The sequence below is a fragment of the Homo sapiens genome, chromosome 7 (genome assembly GCF_000001405.40).
Source record: "Homo sapiens chromosome 7, GRCh38.p14 Primary Assembly".
NCBI classification, from domain to species: Eukaryota; Metazoa; Chordata; class Mammalia; order Primates; family Hominidae; genus Homo; species Homo sapiens.
Window position 1 is genome coordinate 75155085 of NC_000007.14, and position 25884 is coordinate 75180968.

The window sequence follows — 25884 nt, forward strand, 5'->3', positions numbered from 1 at the left end:
CTTTTTTTTTCTTTTTTCTTTTTTTTTGAAGGAGTCTTGCACTGTCACCCAGGCTGGAGTGCAGTGGAACAATCTCGACTCACTGCAGCCTCTGACTCCTGGGTTCAAGCCATTCGCCTGCCTCAGCCTCCCGAGTAGCTGGGATTCTAGGCTTGTGCCACCACGCCTGGCTAATTTTTATATTTTCTGTAGAGATGGGGTTTCACCATGTTGGCCAGGCTGGTCTGGAACTCCTGACCTCAAGTGATTCACCCGCGTCAGCCTCCCAAAGTGCTGGGATTACAGGCCTAAGCCACTGTGCCCAGCCGTCCAGTGGTTTTCTGAAAGCTTCTGCCAGTCCTTCGATGGTCAGCCTATTCTCTTGACAACCATCTGCTCCCCTTATGATTTTCTCTGATATCTCCCCTTATGATTGTCTCTTATCTCTAAGGGACCCACCTCCCCCGTCCTCACATAGCCACTTCCGCAAATGTGGGACAGCTCTCCCTGCCACTCGTGGCCTTCGTGACAAGTTACATCTTTTGCAAGACTGGCAGCTTCACTTTGCACCTTCGTGTCTGCATTTTGGGGAAAGACCTGCCCTCAAAGCAAAGGCTTTCAGGCTACAGGCTGGCTTCAATGCTAGGGTGAGCGGTGAATAGTGTGCATAGTGAATACTTGCTTTCTGGTACAACCTCATAACCGGGGCACGGTCTCAGTGAATAACAGAGGACACCCTGCACCTAAGTTACTTTTTTTTTTTTTTTTTTTTTTTGAGATAGAGTCTCGCTCTGTAGTCCAGGCTGGAGTGCAGTGGCGCCGTCTCGGCTCACTGCAACATCTGCCTCCCCGGTTCAAGCGATTCTCATGCCTCAGCCTCCCCAGTAGCTGGGATTGTGGATGCATGCCACCACGCCCAGCTAATTTTTATATTTTTGGTACAGATGGGGTTTCACCATGTTGTCCAGGCTGGAGTCCAGTGGCGCCGTCTCGGCTCACTGCAACATCTGCCTCCCCGGTTCAAGCGATTCTCATGCCTCAGCCTCCCCAGTAGCTGGGATTATGGATGCATGCCACCACGCCCAGCTAATTTTTATATTTTTGGTAGAGATGGGGTTTCACCATGTTGGCCAGGCTGGTCTCGAACTCCTGAGCTCAACGGATCCTCCCACCTCGGTCTCCCAAAGTGCTGGGTTACAGGCGTGAGCCACCGCGCCCGAACCTAAGTTATAATATATTTTTTATCCCAGCTATGAGGTCACTCCTACACCCTGGACGGCAGCCTGTCTCCTGTCATGAGACAGGGCTGCCCTGCTGCACTGTGTGCACCCATCTTCAGCACTCTTCCGCCAGAGTCCAAGCAGGTGGTTTCTGACCAAACGGTCAGCAGGAATCCGGAAGTTCCTCTTGAACTTGGCCTTGTGCAAACCTGTTCTTGGCCAAGACCAGGGCAACATGCAACCAGACCTCGGCTCTTGCAACTTCCCCCCAGCAGAACTCACAACCTCCTGTCCTCAACTTAGAAATAACCCTGGGGCGGAGCCCGGCCCTCCCTGCATTCCTGCAGAGCCTCGGTCCACTCCAAGCAACATTTATTGAGGGTGGCGGGAGCCGCGCTGGACAGGGGTCGGGGCTGCCCTCGGCGTCCAGACGCCAGGCTCTATAGAACACGTATGTACAGGCACGGGGCGGCAAGGGCCGAGACGCTAGCTGGGGACTGCGCTCCAGCCTCAGACGGCAGACGCCAGCTTCCGCTTGGTGCTCTCGCTGCAGCGGTTCAGGATGAGGTCGGCGCTCGGCCGCGGGGGCACCGCCGGCTGCGGTTTAGAGCGCTGCGTCTGCCGCTCCTCCTCTGCGGGCAGAGAGCGGGGCCGAGTCAGACGCCCCGCCCCGCACACTGGCCCCGCCCACAGCGCTCTCTGGCCTCGCCCCGCCGCGTTCTCCAACTCCTGCTCCGCGCTCTGGCCTCGCCTCCCGCTTGTGCCTCTCCCTCTGACTCCGCCTCTTAGGGATCGCTCCGCCCCCTAGCGCTGGCTCCTCCTCTGCCCCCGCCTCCAGTCCCCGCCTCTCCCTCTGATTCCGCCCTCTGGTCCCGCCCCGCTACTCTGGCCCTGCCTCTGGCCCCGCCTCTCCCGCTGACTCCGCCCCTAGGGCTTGCCCTTCCTGCCCTCTCCCGCTGCACTCACCGAGCGGGCTCCCGGGGCTCTGCGGTCCCGGCCGCGCCTGGCGGCGTCGCTGCTGCAGAAAACGGACGCTGTTGCGGCGATAGGCGTCCTGGCTGAGGCGCTTCCGCGACCGCTGATGGATGCTGTGCGCGTTGCGGATGGACGACCTGGCCCAGCGGGACGGGGCGTCGTCAAAGCCCGAGGGCGCCCCTGCCCCCAGGGACTCAGATGGGCACCCCTGGTCCGAGGAAGTGGGGGGCAGTAGGGGGCCGGTAGTCTGCACGACCCCGGCGGGACAAGAGGCGGCTGCCCCCGTCACGACAAGGACCCTTGCCCTGCAGCAGAGCCTGGGCGGTTTTCCACGCCCCTCACCAGCCTTCGGTCTGTCGTCCCCCTCTCCGGGGAGCCCCCCTGGACTGCCCATCCCCAAAGCCCCCGGGCATCGCCGCTTTCCTTCCGCCCCCGTGCCAGCCCCACACCGCGGCCAGGCGCGTCCAGCCCCTTTCCCCCGTAAGGGTCCTGCCTCTCCTGCCAGGCTGAGAGCCCCCGCCCCGGCACTGCCAAGCTATGGCCTAGACAGAGCGAACCCGTGGTGCGCCCCGCTCGACCCCGCCCAGCCCCGGGGACCCCCGCTTACCTGCGGGGCGGCGCCCCCCGCTTGATCTGGCGTTGGGCCTGGGACACGTCTTGCCCCGACTTTTGCAGGTACATGGACGGAAAGTAGCCTGTGACGTCGTCTTTCCTGCAACAGAGGCAGCCCTTGAGGCTGGGGCAGTCACCTGGGGGCGCCCAGAGGAGAGGGTTTCAGGGCTCTCTCTGAACAATTGGGGTTAGCACAGGCTGAGAGGTTGCAAACAACCGGACACCTGCCTCTGTGGGCCTCAGTTTCCTGGTCTGTGCAACTGAGACCCTTCCAGCAATCCTTCCACAGTCTAGGCAGGGGTGGAGGTTAGCAGATCCAGGTCACCGCAGGGGACAGGTATTTGCTATAAGACATTGGCAAGAATGGGCAGGGCACGGTCGCTCACGCCTGTAATCCCAGTACTTTGAGGGATCTAGGTGGGAGGATCGCTTGAGGCCAGGAGTTGGAGATCAGCCTGGGTAACATAGCAAGACCCCTATCTCTACCTCCCGAAAAAATTAAAGAAAAAAGAAGACACTGGCAGATTATATTTGCCAATTTTTCTTTTATGTTAACTGCCTTCTGTCTCCTACGAACCTTTGCCTACCTCCAAGCCACCAAATTCTATGCTTTCTTCCAAATGCTTTTCCCCCACCCAACCCCAAGACAGAGTTTTGCTCTTGTTGCCTAGGCTGGAGTGCAATGGCATGATGTCGACTCATTGCAACCTCTGCTTCCCAAGTTCAAGCAATTCTCCTGCCTCAGCTTCCCAAGTAGCTGGGATTACAGGCATGCACCACCACACTTGGTTAATTTTGTATTTTTTTAGTAGAGACAGGATTTCACCATGTTGGTCATGGCTGGTCTCAAACTCCTGACCTCAAGTGATCCACCTGCCTCAGCCTCCCAAAGTGCTGAGATTACAGGCGTGAGCTCCCTGTCCAGCCCCAAATGGTTTTTAGTTTCAGGTTTTACTCTGGGATAAACCTGTGATCCATCTGAAGTAAACATATGTGTACAGTGTGAGGAAGGGGTCTAGGTTTGTTTTTTGCTCTTTTTTTTTTTTTCCAGTATGGAAATCCATCTGTTCCAGCACCATTTGTTGAAAAGACTTTCTTTCTATTCTCAATATTATATTTGGGAGTGAAAAAAAAAAACAAAAGAAAACTTTGCATAATACAAGGTTCACATAAAACCCAATTCTTGGCTGGTGGGAGGATCACAAGAAGATTATCAGAGACACAGGATGGGGGTTAACAGAGTGTGTGTCTAAAAGGCTGAGAAATGCTGCCTCAAAGCCCTCTGGCCCCGGGCCCGGCTGCAGGTATGCATGTTGTGGTCCCAGCTTTAAGATAAGCTTGCGGCAGGGCGCCAGGCTGGCCCTGTGACCTAGGGCTCTGAAGACGCCAGCAAAGGCCCAGCATGGAGGCTCATTCCTGTAATCCCAGTGCTTTGGGAGGCCAAGGCAGGAGGAACTCTTGAGGCCAGGAGTTTAAGACTAGTCTTGGCACCATAGTGAGACCCCACCCCTACAAAAAAATTAAAAAACATTAGCCAGATGTGGTGGTGCTCACCTGTAGTCCCAGCTACGTGGGAGCCTGAGGTGGGAGGATCGCTTGAGTGAGCGATGATTGTGCTCCAGCCTGGGAGTCAGAGCAAGATCCTGTCTCAAAAAATGAAAAAATTCGTAAAAAATGAAGACACAGGAAAGGACCTGGGAGGCCCCATGGCTCCAGGGAAATGGCTCCACAAGCCGCTAGAATTCTGTGTTCCCCAGAACCAGAAAAAAGATAATTAGTATTTCTGCATTCATTTGGAGGATAAACAGATGGGAATTGCAATGGAAGCTTTTTTTTTTTTTTTTTTTTTTTTGAGACAGGGTCTTGCTCCATTACCCAGGCTGGGGTGCAGTGGTGCAGTCATAGCTCACTGCAGCCTCCAACTCCTGGGGTCAAGTGATCCTTTCACCTCAGCCTCCTGAGTAGCTGGGGCTACAGGTGTGTGCTACCACATCCAGCTATTTTTAAATTTTTTTTGTAGAGACAGAGGTCTCCCTACATTGCCCAGGTTGGTCTTGAACTTGTAGCCTTGAGTGATCCTCCCACCTCAGCTTCCCAAAGTGTTGGGATTACAGGCATGAGACACTGCACCTGACTGCAAGAAAGCTTTAAAAGATAAAGGAATGATAAAAAGAAAGTAATCTTTTTTTTTTTTTTTTTTTTTTGAGACGGAGTTTCGCTCTCGTTGCCCAGGCTGGAGTGCAATGGCGCGATCTTGGCTCACTGTAACCTCCGCCTCCCGGGTTGAAGCGATTCTCTTGTCTCAGACTCCCGAGTAGCTGGGATTACAGGCTCCCACCACAACACCCGGCTCATGTTTGTGTTTTTAGTAGAGATAGGGTTTTGCCATGTTGGCCAGGGTGGTCTCGAACTCCTGACCTCACGTGATCGTCCTGTCCTGGGCTCCCAAAGTGCTGGGATTACAGGCCTGGGCCATTGCGCCTAGCTAGGAATGTAATTATTTATACAACAGTTCACCATGTTGCCAGAGAAGGAATAATAATAGATGGTTGGGAAGAGACCCTAAATCACAAAGGAGAAATGCACCCACTTGGACAAGGACATTGGATCCCCACAAGACAGGCAAGGGTGGGCTCATCCCTCCCTGCTACTGAGATGGAAACTAAGCCCAGAGAGGGGCAGTGGCTTACCCAGAGTCCCAGGGACAAGTCACCCCAGATCCCTAAACACCCCGTCCTGGCTGGGGCTGACTCAGATGGGTGCTCTGGATGGAGAGGGGCCCTCCTACCTGATGACCCACCAGCCGTCCAGGAGCTTGTGAATGACCTCAACAGCTTCACCCTCGAGCAGGGACACCTCGTCCCCCTCCACAGCAGTGTAGGCCTTGATGGCGACGTATGGCTCACCTGGTCCACGGCAGGGGCACAGAGCACAGTGTGAGGTCGGCCCAGCCTGGGGCTCGCCACCCATCCCATCTTCTCCTCTCTGCGCCTGGGCTTCCTCCAGGCACTCCAGACCCACCCAGGGCCCACAGTTCCCCCTCTTCTGGGTCTCCTCCCTCCACCCTCCTGCTCCATCCCAGATCCCTCGGCAAGCTCCTGCTGGCACCCACTCTGGGGGTACACTCTGGACTTCGGCCCTCTGCCCCCTACACCCAGGTGAGCTTGTCCACTCCCATTCATTGCCACCCACTCTGGGGACCAGAGATCCCATAACGATGAAGGTCTGTCCAGACACTTCACTATGACAAGAGATCAGCCATGAGTAGGTGGGTGGAGCATCCGTCTACCTGGCACTGGGAACTGCTCAGCTGCAGCTAACTGTCGGCCTGGGGGCTGCAGGCCTTCCCAGTGTTTAAACGATAGCCACAGGCTGGGCAAGGTGGTTCCCACCTGTAATCCTAGCACTTTGGGAGGCCAAGGCGGGCGGATCACCTGAGGTCAGGAGTTCGAGACCAGCCTGGCCAACATGGCGAAACCCCATCTCTACTAAAAATACAAAAAATTAGCCTGGCGTGGTGGTGCATGCCTGTAATCCCAGCTACTCAGGTGGCTGAGGCAGGAGAATTGCTTGAACCCAGGAGGCTAAGGTTGCAGTGAGCTGAGATTGCATTACTGCACTCCAGCCTGGGTGACAGAGCCAGACTTTGTCTCAAAAAAAAAAAAAAAAGCTGTAAATCCACATAAAAGGGTGAAATCACTCCATTTTAAAATGTGGGTAACCAGGCCAGGGACAGTGGCTCACATCTGTAATTCCAGCACTTTGGGAGGCCAAGGCAGGCAGATCACCTGAGGTCAGAAGTTCGAGACCAGTCTGGCCAACCTGGTGAAACCCCGTCTCAACTAAAAATACAAAAATTATCCAGGCATGGTGGTGCATGCTTGTAATCCCAGCTACCTGGGGAGGCTGAGGCTGGAGAATCACTTGATCCTGGGAGGCAGAGGTTGCAGTGAGCTGAGATAGCACCACCGCACTCCAGCCTTAGCAAGGGAGTGAGACTCTATCTCAAAAAAGTAAAATAAATAAATAAATAATAAAATAAAATGGTAACCAATTCTATTATAGTTTTTTTCAAGCTCAATGCAGGCCCCATCCAGCCCTGGCACTGCCAGTTTTCCCTTTCTGGTCAGTGATGATGCCCCCACTTCCAGGCAGCCCTCCTTCCTGAGCCTAAGGTCTGCTCATCCTTCAGCTTCCCACTGAACCTGGCCACATATCCACAGACACCACTGGCCTCCCACTCTCCCGAGTCGTCTGCTCCTCCTCCTGGTTCCCTGTCCAGACCAAGGGCATCACAACCTGCCAGGGCCCCCAAGCCAGAGCCGATGAGATCTTAGCCCTGACTTTTCTGCCAAGCCAGCAACCAGCCCAGACTCCAAAGCAGTCACTCAATATCCCTGAGCCCTGCCTGCCCCTTTCTCCCACACCCCTACAGCCTCGGAGGGCAGGGGGCACCTGCATAGTTGGGCTCAGGGTCTTCCGTCTCGTCAGGACTGTCCAGGGGCTCGAGGAAGGATGCTGGGATCCAGCCTCGCTTTGCTTTCATCTGACAGAACCACCAACCTGTGCCAGAGGTGCGGGAATGTGACTGAGGGGCAGGGCCCAGCGGCTCCCTGCAGCCATCAGGGATGGTGAGGACACAGGGACACAGACACACTGATGTCCAATGCTCAGATTTGGAAATGTCACCTTCACCACACTGGACAATGAGGTCACATGCATGCATGCACACATGCTCACAGAATCACAGCTCTGAGCCCACTTCATAATGAACAGACGGTCCCATACCCATCCAGACAGAACACGCAGACATGCCCCGCCCCGGCCTGCCATGCACAGATGCCCACAGCCACCACAGGGTGCACACTAAGAGAGAAGGCGACCCACAGTGTGGGGAGGACATTTAGGGCCCCTAACAGAGCTGGAGTCCTCCCAGGGGCCAGGCTGCCTGAGCCTTGGCAGGGGGCTTGTGGCTGTGGGTTCCTGAGCACCAGGGGAAGGAGCCCCGTAAGGTGGGAGGTCTGACCGCTCTCGCTCTTCTCCACGACCTCCACCACGTCCCCCGTGGACAGAGCCATCTCGGAGCCCGAGGTCTTCTCGTAGTCGGCAATGGCGCGGTACGTCTGCAGGATGATGGGGCCGGTGATGTCTGGGGCAAGAGGGAGGGCAGGGTGAGTGGGCATTGCAGGGCCCATCTGGGCCTCCAGAACAGGCGCTGGCATCTTGAGTCTCTGCTGCCCTGCATTTCCTGGGCGCATAGCGTTCTCCAGGCTTCGGCCTCACACTTCAAACATGTCCTTGTTCTCATCTGATGAAGTTAGTGAGCCTTTCCCAACTTTATTTTCTTTTTTGGAGACAGAGTCTTGCTCTGTTGCCCAGGCTAGAGTACAGTGATGTGATCACAGCTCACTACAGCCCTAGACTCCTAGGCTCAAGCAATCTCCCTGCCTCAGCCTCCCGAATAGCTGGGACCACAGACGTATGCCACCACACCCGGCTAATTTTTTGTAAAGACAAGGTCTTGGGACAATGCCCAGGCTGGTCTCGAACTCCTGGGCTCAAAGGATTCTCCCACCTCAGCCTCTTAAAGTGTTGGGATTACAGGTGTGGAGCCACTGCACCTGGCCTTTTCCCAACTTTTTTTTTTTTTTTTTTTTTTTGAGATGGAGTCTCGCTCTGTCACTGGAGTGCAGTGGTGCAATCTTGGCTCATTGCAACCTCCACCTCCCAGGTTCAAGTAATTCACCTGCCTCAGCCTCCCAAGTAGCTGGGACTACAAGCACCCGCCACCACACCTGGCTAATTTTTGTATTTTTAGTAGAGATGGAGTTTCACGATATTGGTCAGGCTGGTCTCGAACTCCTGACCTCAGGTGATTCAACCGCCTCGGCCTCCCAAAGTGCTGGGATTACAGGCATGAGCCACAGTGCCTGACCTTTTCCTAACTTTAAGGTGCACCCGAATACCTGGGATTTTGCTAAAATGCCTATCCTGTTCAGTAGGTCCACTGTGGGACCTGAGTGTGCATTTCTGACCAGCCCTTCATCCAACCGTGGAGGTGCTGATGCTGTTTGGTATTGGCTGACATCTGCCTTCTCAAAATTCATATGTTGAAGTCCTAACCACCCAGTACCTTACAGCGTGGGTATATTAAGAGAAAGGTACTCTTAAGTACGTTTCAAGAGGTAATTAAGTTAAAATGAGGTCAGTAGAGTGGGCCCTAACCCAACAGGCCTCGTGTCCTTATAAGAAGAAGAAAAAGCCGGGCACAGTGGCTCATGTCTATAATCTCAGCACTTTGGGAGGCTGAGGCAGGAGGGTTGCTTGAGGCCAAGAGCTTAAGACCAGCCTGGGCAATGTAGTGAGACCCCATCTCTATCAGAAAATTAAAAATTAGCTGGACATGGTGGCACACACCTGTAATCCCAGCTACTTGGAAGGCTGAGGTGGGAGGATCGCTTCAGCCCAGGAGGTCGAGGCTGTAGTGAGCTATGATCACACCACTTCACTCTGGCCTGGGCAACAGAGCGAGACCCTGTCACTGAAAACAACAAAAACAAAATAGTGGCTGGCACAGAGTAAGCACTCCATTAATGTTAGGTATTATTATTATTATTGTTATTAGCAGCGACTGTGCAATAAGTATTAGAAACTGCCACAGCCCTGCATCGCCTCTGAAGGCCACGCTGCCCTCCAAAACCTGTTCATTCATTCAGCCGCAAACACTCCCCCGGCTGCCAGTAGCAAGGGTCTGCGCTGGTCTCTGCACTGCCACCTGCAAAGGGCTCCTTTCAGTCTCCAGGGACCTTCCAAAGACCCAATTCTTCTTTTTTTTTTTTTTTTTGAGATGGAGTCTGGCTCTGCTGCCCAGGCTGGAGTGCAGTGGCACGATCTCGGCTCACTGCAAACTCCGTCTTCCGGGTTCAAGCAATTCTCCTGCCTCAGCCTCCCAAGTGGCTGGGACTACAGGCACCTGTCACCACGCCTGGCTAATTTGGATTTTTAGTAGAGACAGGGTTTCTCCATGTTGGCCAGGCTGGTCTCAAACTCCTGACCTCAAGTGATCCACCTGCCTCGGCCTCCCAAACTGCTGGGATTACAGGCATGAGCAACCGCACCCGGCCCAAAGACCCAATTCTTCAGCAGGGTAGCTGTGAGCCCTCCCAGCCTGCTCCCAGCCCCTGCTCCATTCCCTGAACACTCTGGGTCTCCTCAGGGTGTCCCCCCCCGCCGGCTGCCCCCCGTCCTCTCACCTGTCGCGGTACTCTTGCCATCTTTGGGCATCAAGTATGTCTCTGGCTTTTTTGTCCTGAGGAGAGAACAGTCTGGGTGAGACCCTTGGCTTCCCATGGAGGAAGAAGAGGCACTGGGTAGACCTGCAGAAGAACTTCCCAAGAGAAGAGGGACCCGGGAAAGGGAAGGGGCACTGCGGAGAGAAGACAGCAACTGGACTGGCTGAGGAAGGGCTTCAGGAAGTGATGGGGGCGGGCGGATCTGCTCGGGCAGCCCAAGGGAGGGACATGAGGAGGACACTGCATAGCCTTCTGCAGACCCAAAGGATGCCCTAAGCCTGGAAAATGCTCTTGCGGGCTCCCAGGCCATCTTCTTTCTTCTTTTCTTTTTTTTTTCTTAGACAGAGTCTCGCTCTGTCACCCAGGCTGGAGTGCAGTGGCGCAGTCTCAGCTCACTGCAACCTCTGCCTCCCGGGTTCAAGCGATTCTCCTGCCTCGGCCTCCCAAGTAGCTGGGATTACAAGCGCACACCACCATGCCTGACTAAATTTTTATATTTTTGGTAGAGATGGGGTTTCACCATGTTGGCCAGGCTGGTCTCAAACTCCCAACCTCAGGTGATCTGCCCACCTCGACCTTCCAAAGTGCTGGGATTATAGGTGTGAGCCACTGTGCCCGGCCTCTTCCTCCTTCTGGAGCCCTGAGAGAGCAGGCAATGAGGAGCGGACCCCACTGCAGAGTCCATCCTTCCCCCGCCTCCCGGGCTGATGATAACTGCCCTTCCTTGGGCCAGGGGACACCTTCAAGCGTCAATAAGTGCTGGCCGGAGCAATGCTGCTTGTCTCTGTCTTGGCAGCCTGGGTGCCTTGACAAGGGGTAACGTCCTGTCCTCATGCTCCCCACTTCGAGCTTCAGTGACCAGAGAGGAGTGGAGAAGGGGACTTCCCCAGCCTGCCTGGAGCTCCCTCAGCCTCTCAGGTGCCTTCCACACAGGGTCCTGGGTACAGGAGACCCCAGACATGCTCAGCACTTAGCAGAGGCATCAACCCCACATCCTTCTGGGGGGCTCCGCAAGACACCCAATGCTTCATCTGATCCTCACTGCCCATTATAGAAATGGAGAACCTGCATTCAGAGAGCAGTGGTGACTGGCTCCAGGTCCCATGGCCAGGTGGCCATAATGTCAGGATGAGGACCCAGGACTTTGAACCTCCAGCCCCGAGTGCTTCCCCCAGTGCCCTGAGGTGTGAAAGATTAAGGTGGAGGCTTGGCGGGGTCACAGGGGCCGGAGGTGGAATTTGCCTCCTCTTTCTGGCTGTGTGGCTCTGGGAAGGTGGCTTTCCCTCTCTGAGCCTTGGTTTCCTCATCTGCAAAACACAGAAAGTCCCACCCCTCCTTCCCTCTCCCACCTGGCAGGGTGAAAAGTTCACTCACTGGTTGTCCGTGGGGAGCTTGAGGTCATCAGGGCGCACCTTGAAGAAGTCGAGGAGGTGGGGACAGCGGGAGATCTTGGTGGGCAGGCTCATGAGCGTGCTGCAGTACTCGGTAAGTGTGCCCTGGTGGTTCTCGGCGGCCCGCTGCCCGTCAAACCACTTGGGAGCTGGCACCAGAGAACATGAGGTCAAGCCCGAGAGGGGCTGGGAGGGCAGGTGAGCCCCCACCAATGACCCCCTGACAGGCGGCTCAGCCCCGTGCTCACCTGGGAGGTGGGGGATGATCCTGTTCTCTGGATTGATCGCCCCTGCCTCAATAGGGAACATTTCTTTTAAGGTTTTCTAAACATTAAAAAGACAAGAAGACGTGAAGGAATATTTGTAGTTTACAACACTTGGAAAAGCACGAGATTGGAAGTGACCTAAATACCTCTCAAAACCACCTAAAAGGCCGAGCATGGTGGCTCACGCCTGTAATCCCAGCACTTTGGGAGGCTGTCGTGGGTGGATCACTTGAGGTCAGGAGTTCAAGACCAGCCTGGCCAACGTGGTGAAACCCCGTCTCTACTAAAAATACAAAAATTAGCCGGGAGTGGTGGCACATGCCTGTAATCCCAGCTACTCAGGAGGCTGAGGTGGGAGAATCGTTTAAACCTGGGAGGCGGAGGTTACAGTGAGCCGAGATGGCGCCACTGCACTCCATCCTGGGTGACAGAGTGAGACACTACCTAAATATCTCGGGCCTAGAAATTTCGGTGGCAATCTGGATTCCTTGATTAACAGAGGCACTGACCTCTCTCCCTCCCATGTGCAAGTCACCAGCAAATCTTTTTGCTTCCAATCCCCAAATCTCTTTGGGATCTGACTGCTTCCCACCAACCCCACCCTCCTGGCCCTAGCCACTACCAGGCCTGGATAACGAAAATGGCCTCCTTGTGTCCCCCGTCCACTCTTGTCTGTCCTCAATCCAGTCGCCAAAGGGATCCTCTTAAAACTCAGGTTGACCAGGTGCAGGGGCTCAAACCTGTAATCCTAGCAATTTGGGAAGCTGAGGCGGGAGGATCACTTGAGTCCAGGAGTTAGAGACCAGCCTGGGCAACATAGCGAAATCCCATCTCTACAAAAAACAAATCAGGAAAAGGAGCCAGGTGTGGTGGTGCACACCTGTGATCTCAACATGGGAGGCTGAGATGGGAGAATCGCTTCAGCCCTGGAGGTTGAGGCTGCAGTGAGCCGTGATTGCACCACTGCACCCCAGCCTGGGTGACAGAGCAAGACCCCATCTCAAAAGAAAAGCAAATATAAAAAAACTGATAACTCATTCTTAAAAAGGTACAAATGTAAAATTTAGGAAAATAACTAACATAGGGACGAGAACCACAAGGAGAATGTTCACCAGCAGGTGCATTTATTTGGGATCTAGAACTTGGCTTTGTTTTTCAAAAGCGACAAGAATGGTTCCATTCTAGGAAGGTTCTGGGAGATCCTGTCTGTTTTACTTTAAAATGAGAATCTGGTGTTTCTGTGTTTTATTGTTTTCAGTAAGACTACTTAAATGTTTCAGGGGGAAAAATGTTTTTTTCTTTTAATGCCCCCTTAGCTTTGGGAGGCCAAGGCAGGAGGATCACTTGAGGTCTGGAGTTCAAGACCAGCCTGGGCAACATAGTGAGATCCCCATCTTTATAAAAAATACAAAAATTAGCCACACATGGTGATGCGCACCTATAGTCCCAGCTACTCAGGAGGCTGAGGCAGGAGGATCGCTTGAGCCCCAGAGGTTGAGGCTGCAGTGAGCTATGATTGCGCCCCTGCACTGCAAACCTAAATACCTCTCAAAACCACCTAAAAGGCCGACCGTGGGGGCTCATGCCTGTAATCAGAGAACATGAGGTGTTCAGAGTGGTGACAGAGCAAGACCCTGGGTGACAGAGCAAGACCCTGTCACAAAAATTTATATAAATAAATAAATCCCCTTTAACTGTGGTCTGGGAGGGGATTCTGGGTTCTGCAGTTTCCCCATCACCTGGGCTAAGGTCCTTCCCAAAGGGTGGAGCTGGAACGGTGGGTCCCTGTCCCTCCTCCGTCCCCACACTCACATGGAACTCGTAGATCTCGGTGAAGCGCCGGTAGACCACCTTCTCCGACAGGTCCTGCCATTTCACCAGGAACATGTACCTGGGGGAAAGCCAGAGTCGGGGGACCCCATTCAGCCTCCAAAGAGGCTTTGCTGTGTGCACCCAGGATCCCACTACCCACTGGAGGAAGCCCAGAGGATTGGGGTGAGGACCATCTTTGCAGTTGTCCTGGATTGCAGAAAGGGCACAAACGTGGACCCAAGTGCTGCCACGCCCCAGCCTTGAGACCCAGGGCAAGAGGGTCAGCTTCTCTCAAATGGACTCATCTGTAAATTGGAGATAAAAGTAGGACCTAGGCTGGGCACGGTGGCTCACACCTGGAATCCCAGCACTTTTTAGTACCGAGGTGGGAAGATCGCTTGAGTCCAAGAGTTTGAGACCAGCCTGGGCAACATAGCGAGACCCCCATATCTACTAAAAACACAAAAATTGTCCGGGTGTGGTGCCGCACACCTGTGGCCCCAGGTGAGGCAGGAGAATTGCTTGAGACTTGGAGGTCAAGGCTTTAGTGAGCTATGATTGCACCACTGCACTCCAGCTTGGGTGGGGAGGGGAGGGGAAGGGAGGGGACAGGAGGAGAGGGGAGGGGACGGGAGGGGCAGGAAGGCTGGGCATGTTGGCTCCCGTCTGTAATCCCAGCACTTTGGGAGGCCAAGGCAGGTGGATCACCTGAGGTCAGGCGTTCAAGACCAGCCTGACCAATATGGTGAAACCCTGTCTCTACTAAAAACACAAAAATTACCCGGTAGTGGTGATGGGCACCTGTGATCCCAGCTACTTGGGAGGCTGGGACAGGAGAATTGCTTGAACCCGGGAGGCGGAGGCTGCAGTGAGCTGAGGTTGTGCCACTGCACTCCAGCCTGGGTGACAGAGCGAGACTCCCTCTCAAAAAAATTAAAAAGAAGACAGAATTGCATCTAAGATCCACTGCCCTGGATACACAAACTGAATCTAATGAAGATAAACCCAAACTAAGGGACATTCTACAAGGTAACTGGTCTGCTCTCTGCAAAACATCAAAGTTGCAAAAGACAAAGACTGATTAAGACCGATCCAGAATCCGCTGGCACGGTGGCTCACGCCTGTAATCCCAGCACTTTGGGAGGTCGAGGCGGGCAGATCACCTGACGTCAGGAGTTCGAGATCAGCCTGGCTAACATGGTGAAACCCTGTCTCTACTAAAAATACAAAAAGTAGCCGGGCATGGTGGCGCATGCCTGTAATCCCAGCTACTCGGGAGGCTGAGGCACGAGAATTGCTTGAACCTGGGAGGCGGAGGATGCAGTGAGTGGAGATTGTGCCATTGCACTCCAGCCTGGGTGACAGAGTAAGACTCCATCTCATAAAAAAAAAAAAAAAGACTGATCCAGAATCAATATGGCAAAACCCTGTCTCTACCAAAAACGAGCTGGGCGTGGTGGCGCGCACCTGTATTCCCAGCTACTCAGGAGGCTGAGGCAGGAGAATCTCTTGAACCCAGGAGGCAGAGGTTGCAATGAGCCGAGATTGCACCACTGCACTCCAGTCTGGCGACAGAGTGAGATTCCGTGTCCAAAAAAAGAAAAAGAAAAAGAAAAAAGACTGATCCAGATTAAAGAAGGTTAAAGGCTATGACATTGATCCTTGACTGGATCCTAGACCTGAAAAAAGTTTTCACTGCAGAGGACAAGCAGGATAATCGGGGAAACCTCAGTAAAGTCTGTGGGTGGATAATGGTGTTTTGTCCATGTTAATTTCCTGATTTTGACACGTGTGTTGTGATTATGTAAGAGAATGCCTTGATTTTAAGAAATGCCCAACAACTAGTATTTAGAGGTAAAGAAACACGTCTTCAACTCACTCTCAAATAATTCAGAAAATATCCCCAGAAAGAGAGGTGTGGATGAAGGTGAGTGAAAGACTATTGGAGTGACTGGTACCGTTTTGACACCCAGTAGCCTTTCTGTAAATTTGAAATTTCAAAACTGAAAGTTACAAAGAAAAGGAGAAAAGTGACTAGGCACGGTAGCTCACGCTTGTAATCCTAGCACTGTGGGAGGCTGAGACCAGAGGGTTGCTTAAGCCGAGGAGTTCAAGATTAGCCTGGACAACATAGTGAAACCTCATCTCCACAAAAATTTTAAAAACTAGCCAGGCATGGTGGTGTGCGCCTGTAGCCCCAGCTACTCAAGGGGCTGAGGCAGGAGGATCACTTGGGCCTGGGAGGTTGAGGCTGCAGTGAACTATGATCGCACCACTGCACTCCAGACCTCATTTCAAAAAAACAGGCCAGGCACGGTGGCTCATGCCTGTAATCCCAGCACTTTGGGAGGCCCAGGTGGGTGGATCACTTGAGGTCAGGAGTTTGAGACCAGTCTGGCCAACATGGTGAAACCCTGTCTCTACTAAAAATACAAAAATTAGCCAGGCGTGGTGGTGGGCACCTGTAATCCCAACTACTCTGGAGGCTGAGGCAGGAGAACCAGTTGAACCTGGAAGGCGGAGGTTGCAGTGAGCTGAGATCGTGCCACTGCACTCTGGCCTGGGCAACAGATCAAGACTCTGTCTCAAAAAACAAAAAAATAACAAAAAAGAGAAAGGTCTTGGCACATAGGACTAAATGTTCCATACAAGCTTCAATTTCCTAAATGTAGTTCCTCCCTGGCCTTCCTATGGGATTAGGGGACCCAGTGGACTTGTGTGTCTGAGCAGGCATTTGTCCAGCCTCCTTGGGGACAGATGGGAGGACTCTATTGGCCCCTGTCATGGTGTCACCCTACTGGAGAGGATAAGACTCTAACTGACACTACAGGCAGCTGGGGAGAGAGAGAGCTTTAGTTTCCAGGCCTCCCTCTTGGGAGGGCCACTCTCTGATAGCTGGGCTAGTCAGGGAAGGCTTCCTGGAGGAGTGGGCCTCGGACCTGAGAGAGCGCTGGGCTGCCTGGCCATGGCAGGGGAGCAGAAAGAGGACTCCTGGCTAAGGCTGAGGGCCTGGCTGGGGACACAGGCGGGGACAGTAAAGGGCTGGGGCCCAGGGCGGGTCCAAGGGAACTGTCTTCCCAGGGATCAGAGGGGTAGATCCAGGCTCAAAGACCAGGGACCAGGTGCCCAAGACCCTGCCCCGTTAGTCCTCACTGGAGCTGGTTGGCCCTGGGACTGCAAGGGTGGCCGTGCTGTCCCTCCCGTATTCCCCCCACGGGATGCCCTCCACCAGCTACTCACATAGTGCTGGCTGGGTACGAAGCGCTTCTCAAAGCCCAGCAGGGCGATGTGACGGATGAAGGTGTCCCCCATGACTGGGTGGCCTCCAGTGCTCCCTGGCACTTCCAGGCTGCGCCTTAAATGCACTGGAAAGAGGAAGTCGCTTTTGTCGCGGTCGGGACAGGGGGCAGGGAGGGTACAGAAAGGGCTTTGCTTCTTCTTTCAGTTTCTGGGGACTCTTCAGGCTTGCAGGGTGTAAACATGGGCAGACTCATGTTCACACACACCTGCAGGGACAAGGAAAAGGGTTTACACTTGTCCTTCCCGTCGCCTGCACGGGCCCCACGGGTTTTGGGGGTGAATCAAGCTGCTCCTGCCTCAGGGCCTTTGCATTTGCTGCGTCCCCTTGACCATCTTTCCCCCCTTGACCATATTCCTGGTCTTGACCATGTTCCCCCCATTCACCATCTTCCCTCCATAACTCTCCTCCATTTCTCTGCTCAAATGTCACCTCTTCCGAGAAGCCTTCCTTGATAACTTCACATTGCATAGCAAACCTCATACCTTTCTCAGCCTCTTCCTGCCTCCTTTTTCTGCAGAGCACTTATCACTGATGCATCGCAAATTGCATTTAATTTTTCTTTATTATTATTGCTATTGTTATTTGAGACAGGGTCTTGCTTTGTTATCCAGGCTTAAGCGCAGTGGTGGGATCACAGTTCACTGCAGCCTCCAACTCCTGGGCTCCAGCGATCCTCCTGCCTCAGCCTCTGGAGTAGCTGGGACTACGGGTGTGTGCCACCATGCCCGGTTAAATTTTTTTTAATTTTTTTGTACAGACAGGGTCCTGCTATGTTGCCCAGGATGGTCTCAAACTACTGGCCTCTAGTGATCCTCCTGCCTCTGCCTCCCACTTTTTTTTTTTTTGAGATGGAGTCTCGCTCTTGTTTCCCAGGCTGGAGTGCAATGGCGCGATCTCGGCTCACCGCAACCTCTGCCTCCTGGGTTCAAGCAATTCTCTTGCGTTAGTCTCCTGAGTAGCTGGGATTACAGGCATGTGCCACCACACCTGGCTAATTTTTTTTTTTTTTTAATTAGAGACTGGGTTTCTCCATGTTGGCCAGGCTGGTCTTGAACTCCTGACCTCAGGTAATTCACTCGCCTCGGCCTCCCAAAGTGCTGGGATTCAGGCATGAGCCACCGTGCCTGGCCTGACTTAATTTTTTTAGTCTCCCCTTACCACAATGTGTGTCCCAGGAAAGCTAGGGCATGACCGGGTTATCAGGGGCTCTAGCCCCAGCCCCTCCATCTAGTGCCTGGCACACAGAGGCCATAAATATTTGGATCGTGACTGCAACATTCACTGAGTGAATGAATGAGTGAGTGAATGAATGAATGAGTCAATGAATGAGTGAATGAATGAATGAATGAGTGAATGAACGCGGGCATGGGAGTGTGCATGCAAGCGTTAGATGCTCATCCTTGGGTGTGTGTGGATGAGGGCCAGTGACAGCTGGGACGAAAATGGCACAGACTTTGAGTGAGACTTGAGTTCCAATCCTCAAGTAAGCAAATGGTTCATTGAATTGTTCCTTAGGGCTGACTCAGTTTTCTCCAGAGTGATATTAAGACTGTCAGCTTTGCCAGGAAGGGGATTTGGGACAAAGAGGTGAGGAGGGGGCAGCATGCCCAGGGACAGGCTGAGGCCTCTCTCTCCCACTCCCCCTAGAGCCTGGGAGGCCCAGAGCTTTTGGAGCTCATTCAAGGTCATGAGTTCATGAGTGGTGGGCCTCAGCCCCAGGCAGCCTGCTGCAGCCTGTGCCTCCCAGCAGGCCAGGGCTGCACCAACTCACCCTTGCCTGAGTCCAGGGTCAGCTCGTGGTCCGGACCTGATCTCCTGGGGGTGAGGGTTGAGGTCTGGCAGATGAAAGCCAAGACATGCTGGGCGTTAATTTATTTGTTTGAAGCGAAGTTTCGCTCTTGTTGCCCAGGCTGGAGTGCAGTGGCACAATCTCGGCTCACTGCAACCTCTGCCTTCCAGGTTCAAGCGATTCTCCTGCCTCAGCTTCCCAAGTAGCTGGGATTACAGGTGTGCGCCACCACGCCTGGCTAATTTTGTATTTTTAGTAGAGAAGGGGTATCACCCTGTTGGCCAGGCTGGTCTTGAACTCCTGAGCTCAGGAGATCCACCCGCCTCAGCCTCCCAAAGTGTTGGGATTACAGGCATGAGCCACTGTGCCTGGCCCTTTTTTTTTTTTTTTTTTTTTTTTAAAGACAGGGTCTCTATCTGTCACCCAGGCTGGAGTGCAGTTGCCTGGTCATAACTCACTGCAGCCTCCAACTCCTGGGCTCAAGCAGTCCTCCTGCCTTGGCCTCCCCAGTAGGTTGGGACTACAGGCACATGCCACCACACCTGGCCTGTTCCTGCTTTTATTATCCAGTGCATTTATTATCCAAGAGGTGTAGGGTCCACTCCACCTGCTCTGAAAGATTTGCTTGGCAAGTGCTTCACTTCTTTTTTTCTTTTTTTTTTTTTTGAGACAGAGTCTCTTTCTGTCCCCCAGGCTGGTATGCAGTGGCATGATCTCGGCTCACTGCAACCTTCACCTTCCGGGTACAAGCAATTCTCCTGCCTCAGCCTCCCAAATAGCTGGGATTACAGGCGTGCACCACCACGTCCGGCTAATTTTTTGTATTTTTATAGTGATGGGGTTTCACCAAATTGCCCAGGCTGGTCTCGAACTCCTGACCTCAAGTGATCTGCCCGCCTCGACCTCCCAAAGCGCTGGGATTACAGGAGTGAGCCACTGCACCCGGCCTTCACTTCTCTATAGAGAAGAAAGCTCACATCACCCGCCGGCACCTGCTCCTTCTGGTCCTTACTGTCCCCCACCTCCACCCTGAGGTCCCCAGCCCTGGGTGTGAACGGCCTTGCCAGCCCTTCCTATGATGATTTCCATCTGTATATCTTGGATCTTTCCATGAAGAGAGATAGGCATTTGCAACAGGATCTACTCAGCAATGACAAGGACCTGTCCCACAGGGCGACACAGTGGAATCTTCCAGATACATCACTGACGGAAGGAAGGCAGGCACAGAGCACATGTTCTGGAGGATGTCATTTATACGAGGCTTGAAAACTGCCCAAGCCAGGCTGTGGTGTTGGAAGCCAGGGTGACCTCTGGAATGATGGTGGGGACAGTGGTGACAGGAGAGAGCGGGAGGTGGTGGGCGATGTTTGCCTCCTCTCCAGATAGATGCTAGTTCCACAAGTGGGGCCAGGTGCGGTGGCTCATGCCTGTAATCTCAGTACTTTGGGAGGCCGAGGCAGGTGGATCACCTGAGGTCAGGGGTTCGAGACCAGCGTGGCCAACATGGTGAAACCCCGTCTCTACTAAAAATACAAAATTAGCCAGGCGTGGTGGCACATGCCTGTAATCCCAGCTACTCAGGAGGCTGAGGCAGGAGAATTCGCTTGAACCTGGGAGGCAGAAGTTGCGGCGAGCTGAGATTGCACCATTGCACTCCAGCCTGGGCAACAAGGACAAAACTCCATCTCAAAATAAAATAAAATAAAATAAAATAAAATAAAATAAAATAAAATAAAATAAAATAAATAAAATAAAATAAAATAAAATAAAATAAAATAAAATAAAATAAAATAAAATAAAAAAAATAATTAGCTGGGCATGGTGGCATGTGCCAGTAGTCCCAGCTACTTGGGAGGAGGCTGAGGCAGAAGGACTCCTTGAGCTCAGGAGTTCAAGGCTGCAGTCAGATAAGTTCAAGGTCATTGGTAGGGTGGTCCCGCAGCTCAGGCACTGGGCTCACCCGCTGAAAGTTGTGTGCTCTCCTGTAATTTTTCTATCAACACCCCTTCCCTGACACTCAATTTGTCTCTCATCTTCCCTGTCAAATGCCTCCTCGAAAGGCCCAGCATGGTAGCCAGGCATGGTGGCTCATAGCTCTAATCCCAGAACTTTGGGAGGCTACGGTGGGCGGATCACCTGAGGTCAGGAGTTCAAGACCAGCTGGCCCAACATGGTGAAACCCAGTCTCCACTAAAAATACAAAAATTAGCTGGGCATGGTGGCACACACCTGTAATCCCAGCTACTCCGGAGGGTAAGACAGGAGAATCACTTGAACCAGGGAGGTGGAGGTTGCAGTGAGCCGAGATCCTGCCACTGCACTCCAGCCTGGGAAGCAGAGTGAGATTCTGTCTCAGGAAAAAAAAAAAAAAAAGGCTCAGCACAGAGGCCAGACCTGCAGCGATGCTCTCCTGGGCATGTCGAGGCAGGGCAGAGGAAGGTTCTAGTGGGGCTGGTTGTAAGCAGAGAATTTTGTGGGCTCTCGGCACTTCCTTCCCTTCCTCTAGCGGTCTTTCCACACTTGCGTAACTGCCTGGCCAAGGGTACTTGTCCTGTGGACACCCTGAGCCCCTGGCTGTGATCTTTCAACTCTCCTCCTGTGGCCTCCCAAGACCCTGTTATGTTCCCTCAAAGTGCTCTGCAGACAGGAGGTATCCAGCAAGTTTGTTGGATGAGCAGAGGCAGGAAGCGCTCCGAACTTGAGTTTGACCTTGTAATGACCTCTGTAAGCAGGCTTACAGCCTTTTTTCAGGATGACATAGGATTTTTTCCACTTTTTATTTATTATTATTATTATTATTATTTTTTTTTTTGTAGAGACGGGGTCTCGAGATGCTGCTCGGCCTGGTCTCAAGCTCCAGTATCAAGTGGTCCTCCCACCTCAGCCTCCCAAAATGCTGGGATTACAGGCATAAGCCACTGTGTCTGGCCAGGATTTAATTTAATGCATGGATGAAACAAGGTACCAAATAATTTTTTTAATTAAAAAAAAAAAGATAGGTGCAGTGGCTCATGCCTGTAATTCCAGCACTTTGGGAGGCCAAGGTGGGTGGGTCATCTGAGGTCAGGAGTTCGGGACCAGCTTGGCCAACACGGTGAAACCGGGTCTCTACTAAAAATAAAAAAATTAGCCAGGCATGGCATTGCAAGCCTATAATCCCAGCTACTTGGGAGGCTGAGGCAGAAGAATCGCTTGAACCTGGGAGGCAGAGGTTGCAGTGAGCCGAGATCACACCACTGCACTCCAGGCTGGGTAACAGAGTAGACTTGGTTTCAAAAAATAAATAAATAAAATAAAATAAAATAAAGTTAAGGAAGGAAGTAATAAAGAGATAAGAGAGTTTTTTCAGGGGAAGGAAATAGAATTTCTAAAAATGTTTGTATTGTGAAATATGTAGAAAACCACATCTCTTACCTAATTATTATAAAGGAGACAGCTGGTGAACCATCACTGGGTGTTAGAACAATACCAGGGCCCCAAGAATTCCCCCACGTCCCGAGTGCTAATAGGAAGGGCCCCCCGCACCCCGCCGCCCTGCCCTACGTCAGGCACTATTCTAGGTGCTTTCTATTTATGACCGTATCTTCTCCTCACAAGGAGGCTGTCAGGGAGTGGGTACAATTTTCCCCACTTCACAGATGGGAAAACAGAGAGGAAAACAGATTGCCACAGCTGGTATATGCAGAACTGGGATTTGTTTTGTTTTTGTTTTGAGACAGAGTCTTGCTGTGTCACCCAGGCTGGAGTGCAGTGGCGCAATCCTGCCTCACTGTAACCTCCGCCTCCCTGGTTCAAGAAATTCTGTGCCAGCCTCCCGAGTAGCTGGGATTACAGGCTCGTGCCACCACGCCCGGCTAATTTTTGTATTTTTTGTAGAGATGGGGTTTCACCATGTTGCCCAGGCTGGTCTCGAACTCCTGACCTCAAGTGATCTGCCTGCCTCGGCCTCCCAAAGTGCTGGGATTACAGGCATGAGCCATCGCGCCAGGCTAGAACCGCGATTGAACTTGGGCAGTCTGGACCCAGGCCCATGATTTAACTGTTGCACTCTCATGCCTTGCCCTTGAACAATGTGAATGAATGAATGAATGAATGAGTGGGGGTAGGGGGCTCATGAGGAAGGCTCTCACCTCAAGCCAGGCTGGCAGGGAGTGGGGGCTTCCAGGTCTGAGCTGCCAGTCCTGGCCTTTTTCCAAATGTCACCGTCTCCGCCCTCAGGCCACTTGGCTTTCCCCAGATGGGCTGAGCTCGCTATTTCTTTAACCAGGAAATCCCCAAGGCCAGGCCAGTGGGTACCATATCAGGAGAAAGGCGACTTGGCGTCAGGGCATGGGACCCACGCAGTGCCCTCTGGGACATTTTATCAGGAGAGGGAATCTAGCAGTTCCCAGGACTGGAGCAAATCAGCCTTTGGGTGGGACAGTTCTTTCCCAGATCTAACCTAAGCCTCTCCTGCTGCCTCTTCTTGAGCGAGTGACAGCCAGGATCCATCCCCTTGGACAGCCCTGGGTGACCGTCTCCTGGGCCAGCCCACAGGACCAGCTCTCCCTCCTGCCTAGGGCAGCAGGATGGGCCCCAAGGTACCTATGACGCTGGCTCTGTGTGACCGACCCTGTATTGGCAGGCAGGTGTCAATAGGCAGAAACGCTGGCCACTCCAGCCTTGGCCAACATGGTGAACCCCATCTCTACAAAAAATACAAAAATTAGCTGGGCATGGTGGCAGGTGCTTGTAATCCCAGCTACTCAGGAGGCCGAGGCAGGAGACTCTCTTGAACCCGGGAGGCGGAGGTTGCAGTGACCCGAGATCGTGCCACTGCATTCCAGCCTGGGAGACAGAGTGAGTGAGACTCCATCTCAAAAAAAAAAAGCAAAGAAGAAAGTGGGCCACTCGCTGCCTCCCCAGAGACCCATCTTCCTTTATCAGCCAAATCACCTGCGCTGGGCTCTGCTTGGCAGGGGTGGACCCTGAGGCCTCGGCAGAGGGGAATCAGGGACCTGCCCTTGGGAGACTGTCCCAGGACACACCTGAACCACACCCCTGGGAATTCCCTTCTCCCCTAGACCTGATCTCCAGCCCTTGGCCTAGGGACACAAGAGAATGGGCTCCAGGCCCCAGGCATTCAACTCAGGGGAGTCAGACGGAGACCCAGGCCCCGTGGGGAGACGTGCAGGCTGACGGCTGAGCTGTGCACGTGGCTGAAGCTCCCTGAGCCTCTGTCTTTTCATCTGTGAAATGGCACTGACCACTGTACCCACTTCATGGGCTGCCGTGAGGATTAAATAGGGTCAAGTACTAGGGTGGCAAACGTTGGCCATCACCAGATGCAAACTGCGCAGGGGCTGCCTCCAAGGTGCGGGGCAGGGAAATTGCCAGGTAGGAGGCAGGGAGGCTTCTTGCTGTTTAAATTGAGCTTTGAATGAAGAAAATGTCACATGAAGGACAGCAGGCACCCCAAGTTGCTGGGACCACCGGCCCGGGGCTCTGACAGTGGAGCAGTCTCATGATGTCCCTTGGAGAGCTTGTCTGGGTGTGGTGCAGCTGTGTGGGTGGCCTGGAAGCCTTCCCTGACACGGCCAGGCTGACAGTAACCAAGCCCATGGACAGGCTGGGTCTGTCCCCACTGCACTGCACTGTGGCTTCTGGCCCAGCTCCAGGCACGACATGGGCCCTCATCAAATATGCACCACAGGAATGGGGACCTTCCAAGCCAGCCCCACCCCCGCGGGAGCCCCACTTCTGTGCTCAGGGGCCCAGTTGCCCTCTGCCACCCAGGAAGGCTATAAACTCCGCAGTGCACCACCACCCCCAGGGGCTTTGGTGAAATTTTTTTTTTTTTTTTTTGAGGCAAAGTCTCACTCCGTTGCCCAGGCTGCAGTGCAATGGCGCAGTCTCGGCTCACTGCAACCTCCAACCTCCTGGGTTCAAGCAATTCTCCTGCCTCAGCCTCCTGAGTAGCTGGGATTACAGGTTTCCGCTACCACACCCGGCTAATTTTTGTATTTTTAGTACAGACAGGATTTCTCCATATTGGCCAGGCTGGTCTCGAACTCCTGACCTCAGGTGATCCGCCCGCCTCGGCCTCCCAAAGTGCTGGGATTATAGGCGTGAGCCACTGCACGTGGCCGATGGTGATTTCTGTACACTTGAAACAAATTTCAGTAATGAGGAAATCACATCCTAAGCACCAGCCAGTCACTGGGTCTGGAGTGGCCGTTTCCACATCTCCCCAGCTCCAAGCAGCACAGTGAAGTCAATGGTGGTGCGGTCCCTCTGGGACTCACTGAGGGCCAGGCCCCTGCGCCACTTCCCAGGAGAGATCTGGGACAGTCGCTAAGTCACACAGGCCTGGAGTTGGGGGCGGCACACCTGCAGACAGGTGGGACCTGTAGACGTGGCTTTCTCGGTGAGGGGTTACCCAGGCGCAGAGGCACCGCAGAGCCCCATCATGCAGGAGGACAACCTTGTCACCTCCATGGGACTGAAGCTCATCTTCGGCGGGCCAGAAAAAGAAACTTGGGGCTGTGGTGTCAACACTTGCCACAGCTTCCTGAACATGCACCCCAGGTTCCCTGTTCCGGCCTTGTCTTTTTGGAGACCTGCAGTGACTGCTGTTTATCCAGGGGTTTCCCCTGAAGGGTGTGGGCACCATACAGGAGGGGACAGTTTTAGTGTCAATCGGGACAGGAGTTCAACAGGTCCTTTGGATGCAGCTAGAGCTAGACCTTCTCAGCCTGTGGCATTTGGGGCTCTGGGAGGTGTGCCCTCTGCTCTGTCGCTGGCCCTACCTGTGTCCACCAAATCGCCCTCACACCTCTGGAGGGGTCCTCCTGGGTGGGTCCTTACTGCTTTATGTAGCCTGAGGAACGAGCAACCTTGAGCCCCCGCAGGAAGCGGATGCCACAGCAAGCCCTGCTATTGCTTCTGGGGAGGAAGTCAGGCAGGAAACACCTTCCCCAGCTGGGCTTGCCTCACAAGAGATGTCAGAGCCAGCTTTCCCAACACTTCCTCAAAATTAAGGTGCGGTGCCAGGCGCAGTGGCTCACGCACGCCTGTAATCCCAGAACTCTGGGAGGCCAAGGCAGGCGGATCACTTGAGGTCAGGAGTTCGAGACCAACCTGGCCAACATGGGGAAACCCGTCTCTACTAAAAATACAAAAATTAGCTGGGTGTGGTGGTGGACACCTGTAATCCCAGCTACTCGGGAGGCTGAGGCAGGAGAATAGCTTGAACCTGGTAGGCAGAG

General features: G+C 53.5%; 1 pseudogene across 1 annotated transcript, besides 2 other annotated features; it reads right to left on the reverse strand.

Moving 5' to 3' along the window:
• Positions 1-1493: 1493 nt before the first annotated feature.
• Positions 1494-16914, reverse strand: NCF1C (neutrophil cytosolic factor 1C (pseudogene); annotated as a pseudogene). The gene is made up of 11 exons (NR_003187.3): positions 16788-16914; positions 13548-13626; positions 11718-11793; positions 11453-11618; positions 10040-10095; positions 7813-7935; positions 7242-7349; positions 5575-5692; positions 2782-2886; positions 2166-2311; positions 1494-1831 (listed from the first exon to the last, which is right to left on the reverse strand). The product of NR_003187.3 is annotated as a neutrophil cytosolic factor 1C (pseudogene) (transcript).
• Positions 1873-1982: an enhancer, noted in NCBI's record as "active region_26176". NCBI's record gives its function as "activates an Ori minimal core promoter by ATAC-STARR-seq in GM12878 lymphoblastoid cells {active_cell/tissue: GM12878}" and the evidence as "EXISTENCE:reporter gene assay evidence [ECO:0000049][PMID:35858748]".
• Positions 7718-8218: an enhancer, noted in NCBI's record as "H3K4me1 hESC enhancer chr7:74578607-74579107 (GRCh37/hg19 assembly coordinates)". NCBI's record gives its function as "activates a minimal SCP1, AML or CMV promoter by ChIP-STARR-seq in primed H9 embryonic stem cells {active_cell/tissue: H9 hESC(primed)}" and the evidence as "EXISTENCE:reporter gene assay evidence [ECO:0000049][PMID:30033119]".
• Positions 16915-25884: the final 8970 nt, after the last annotated feature.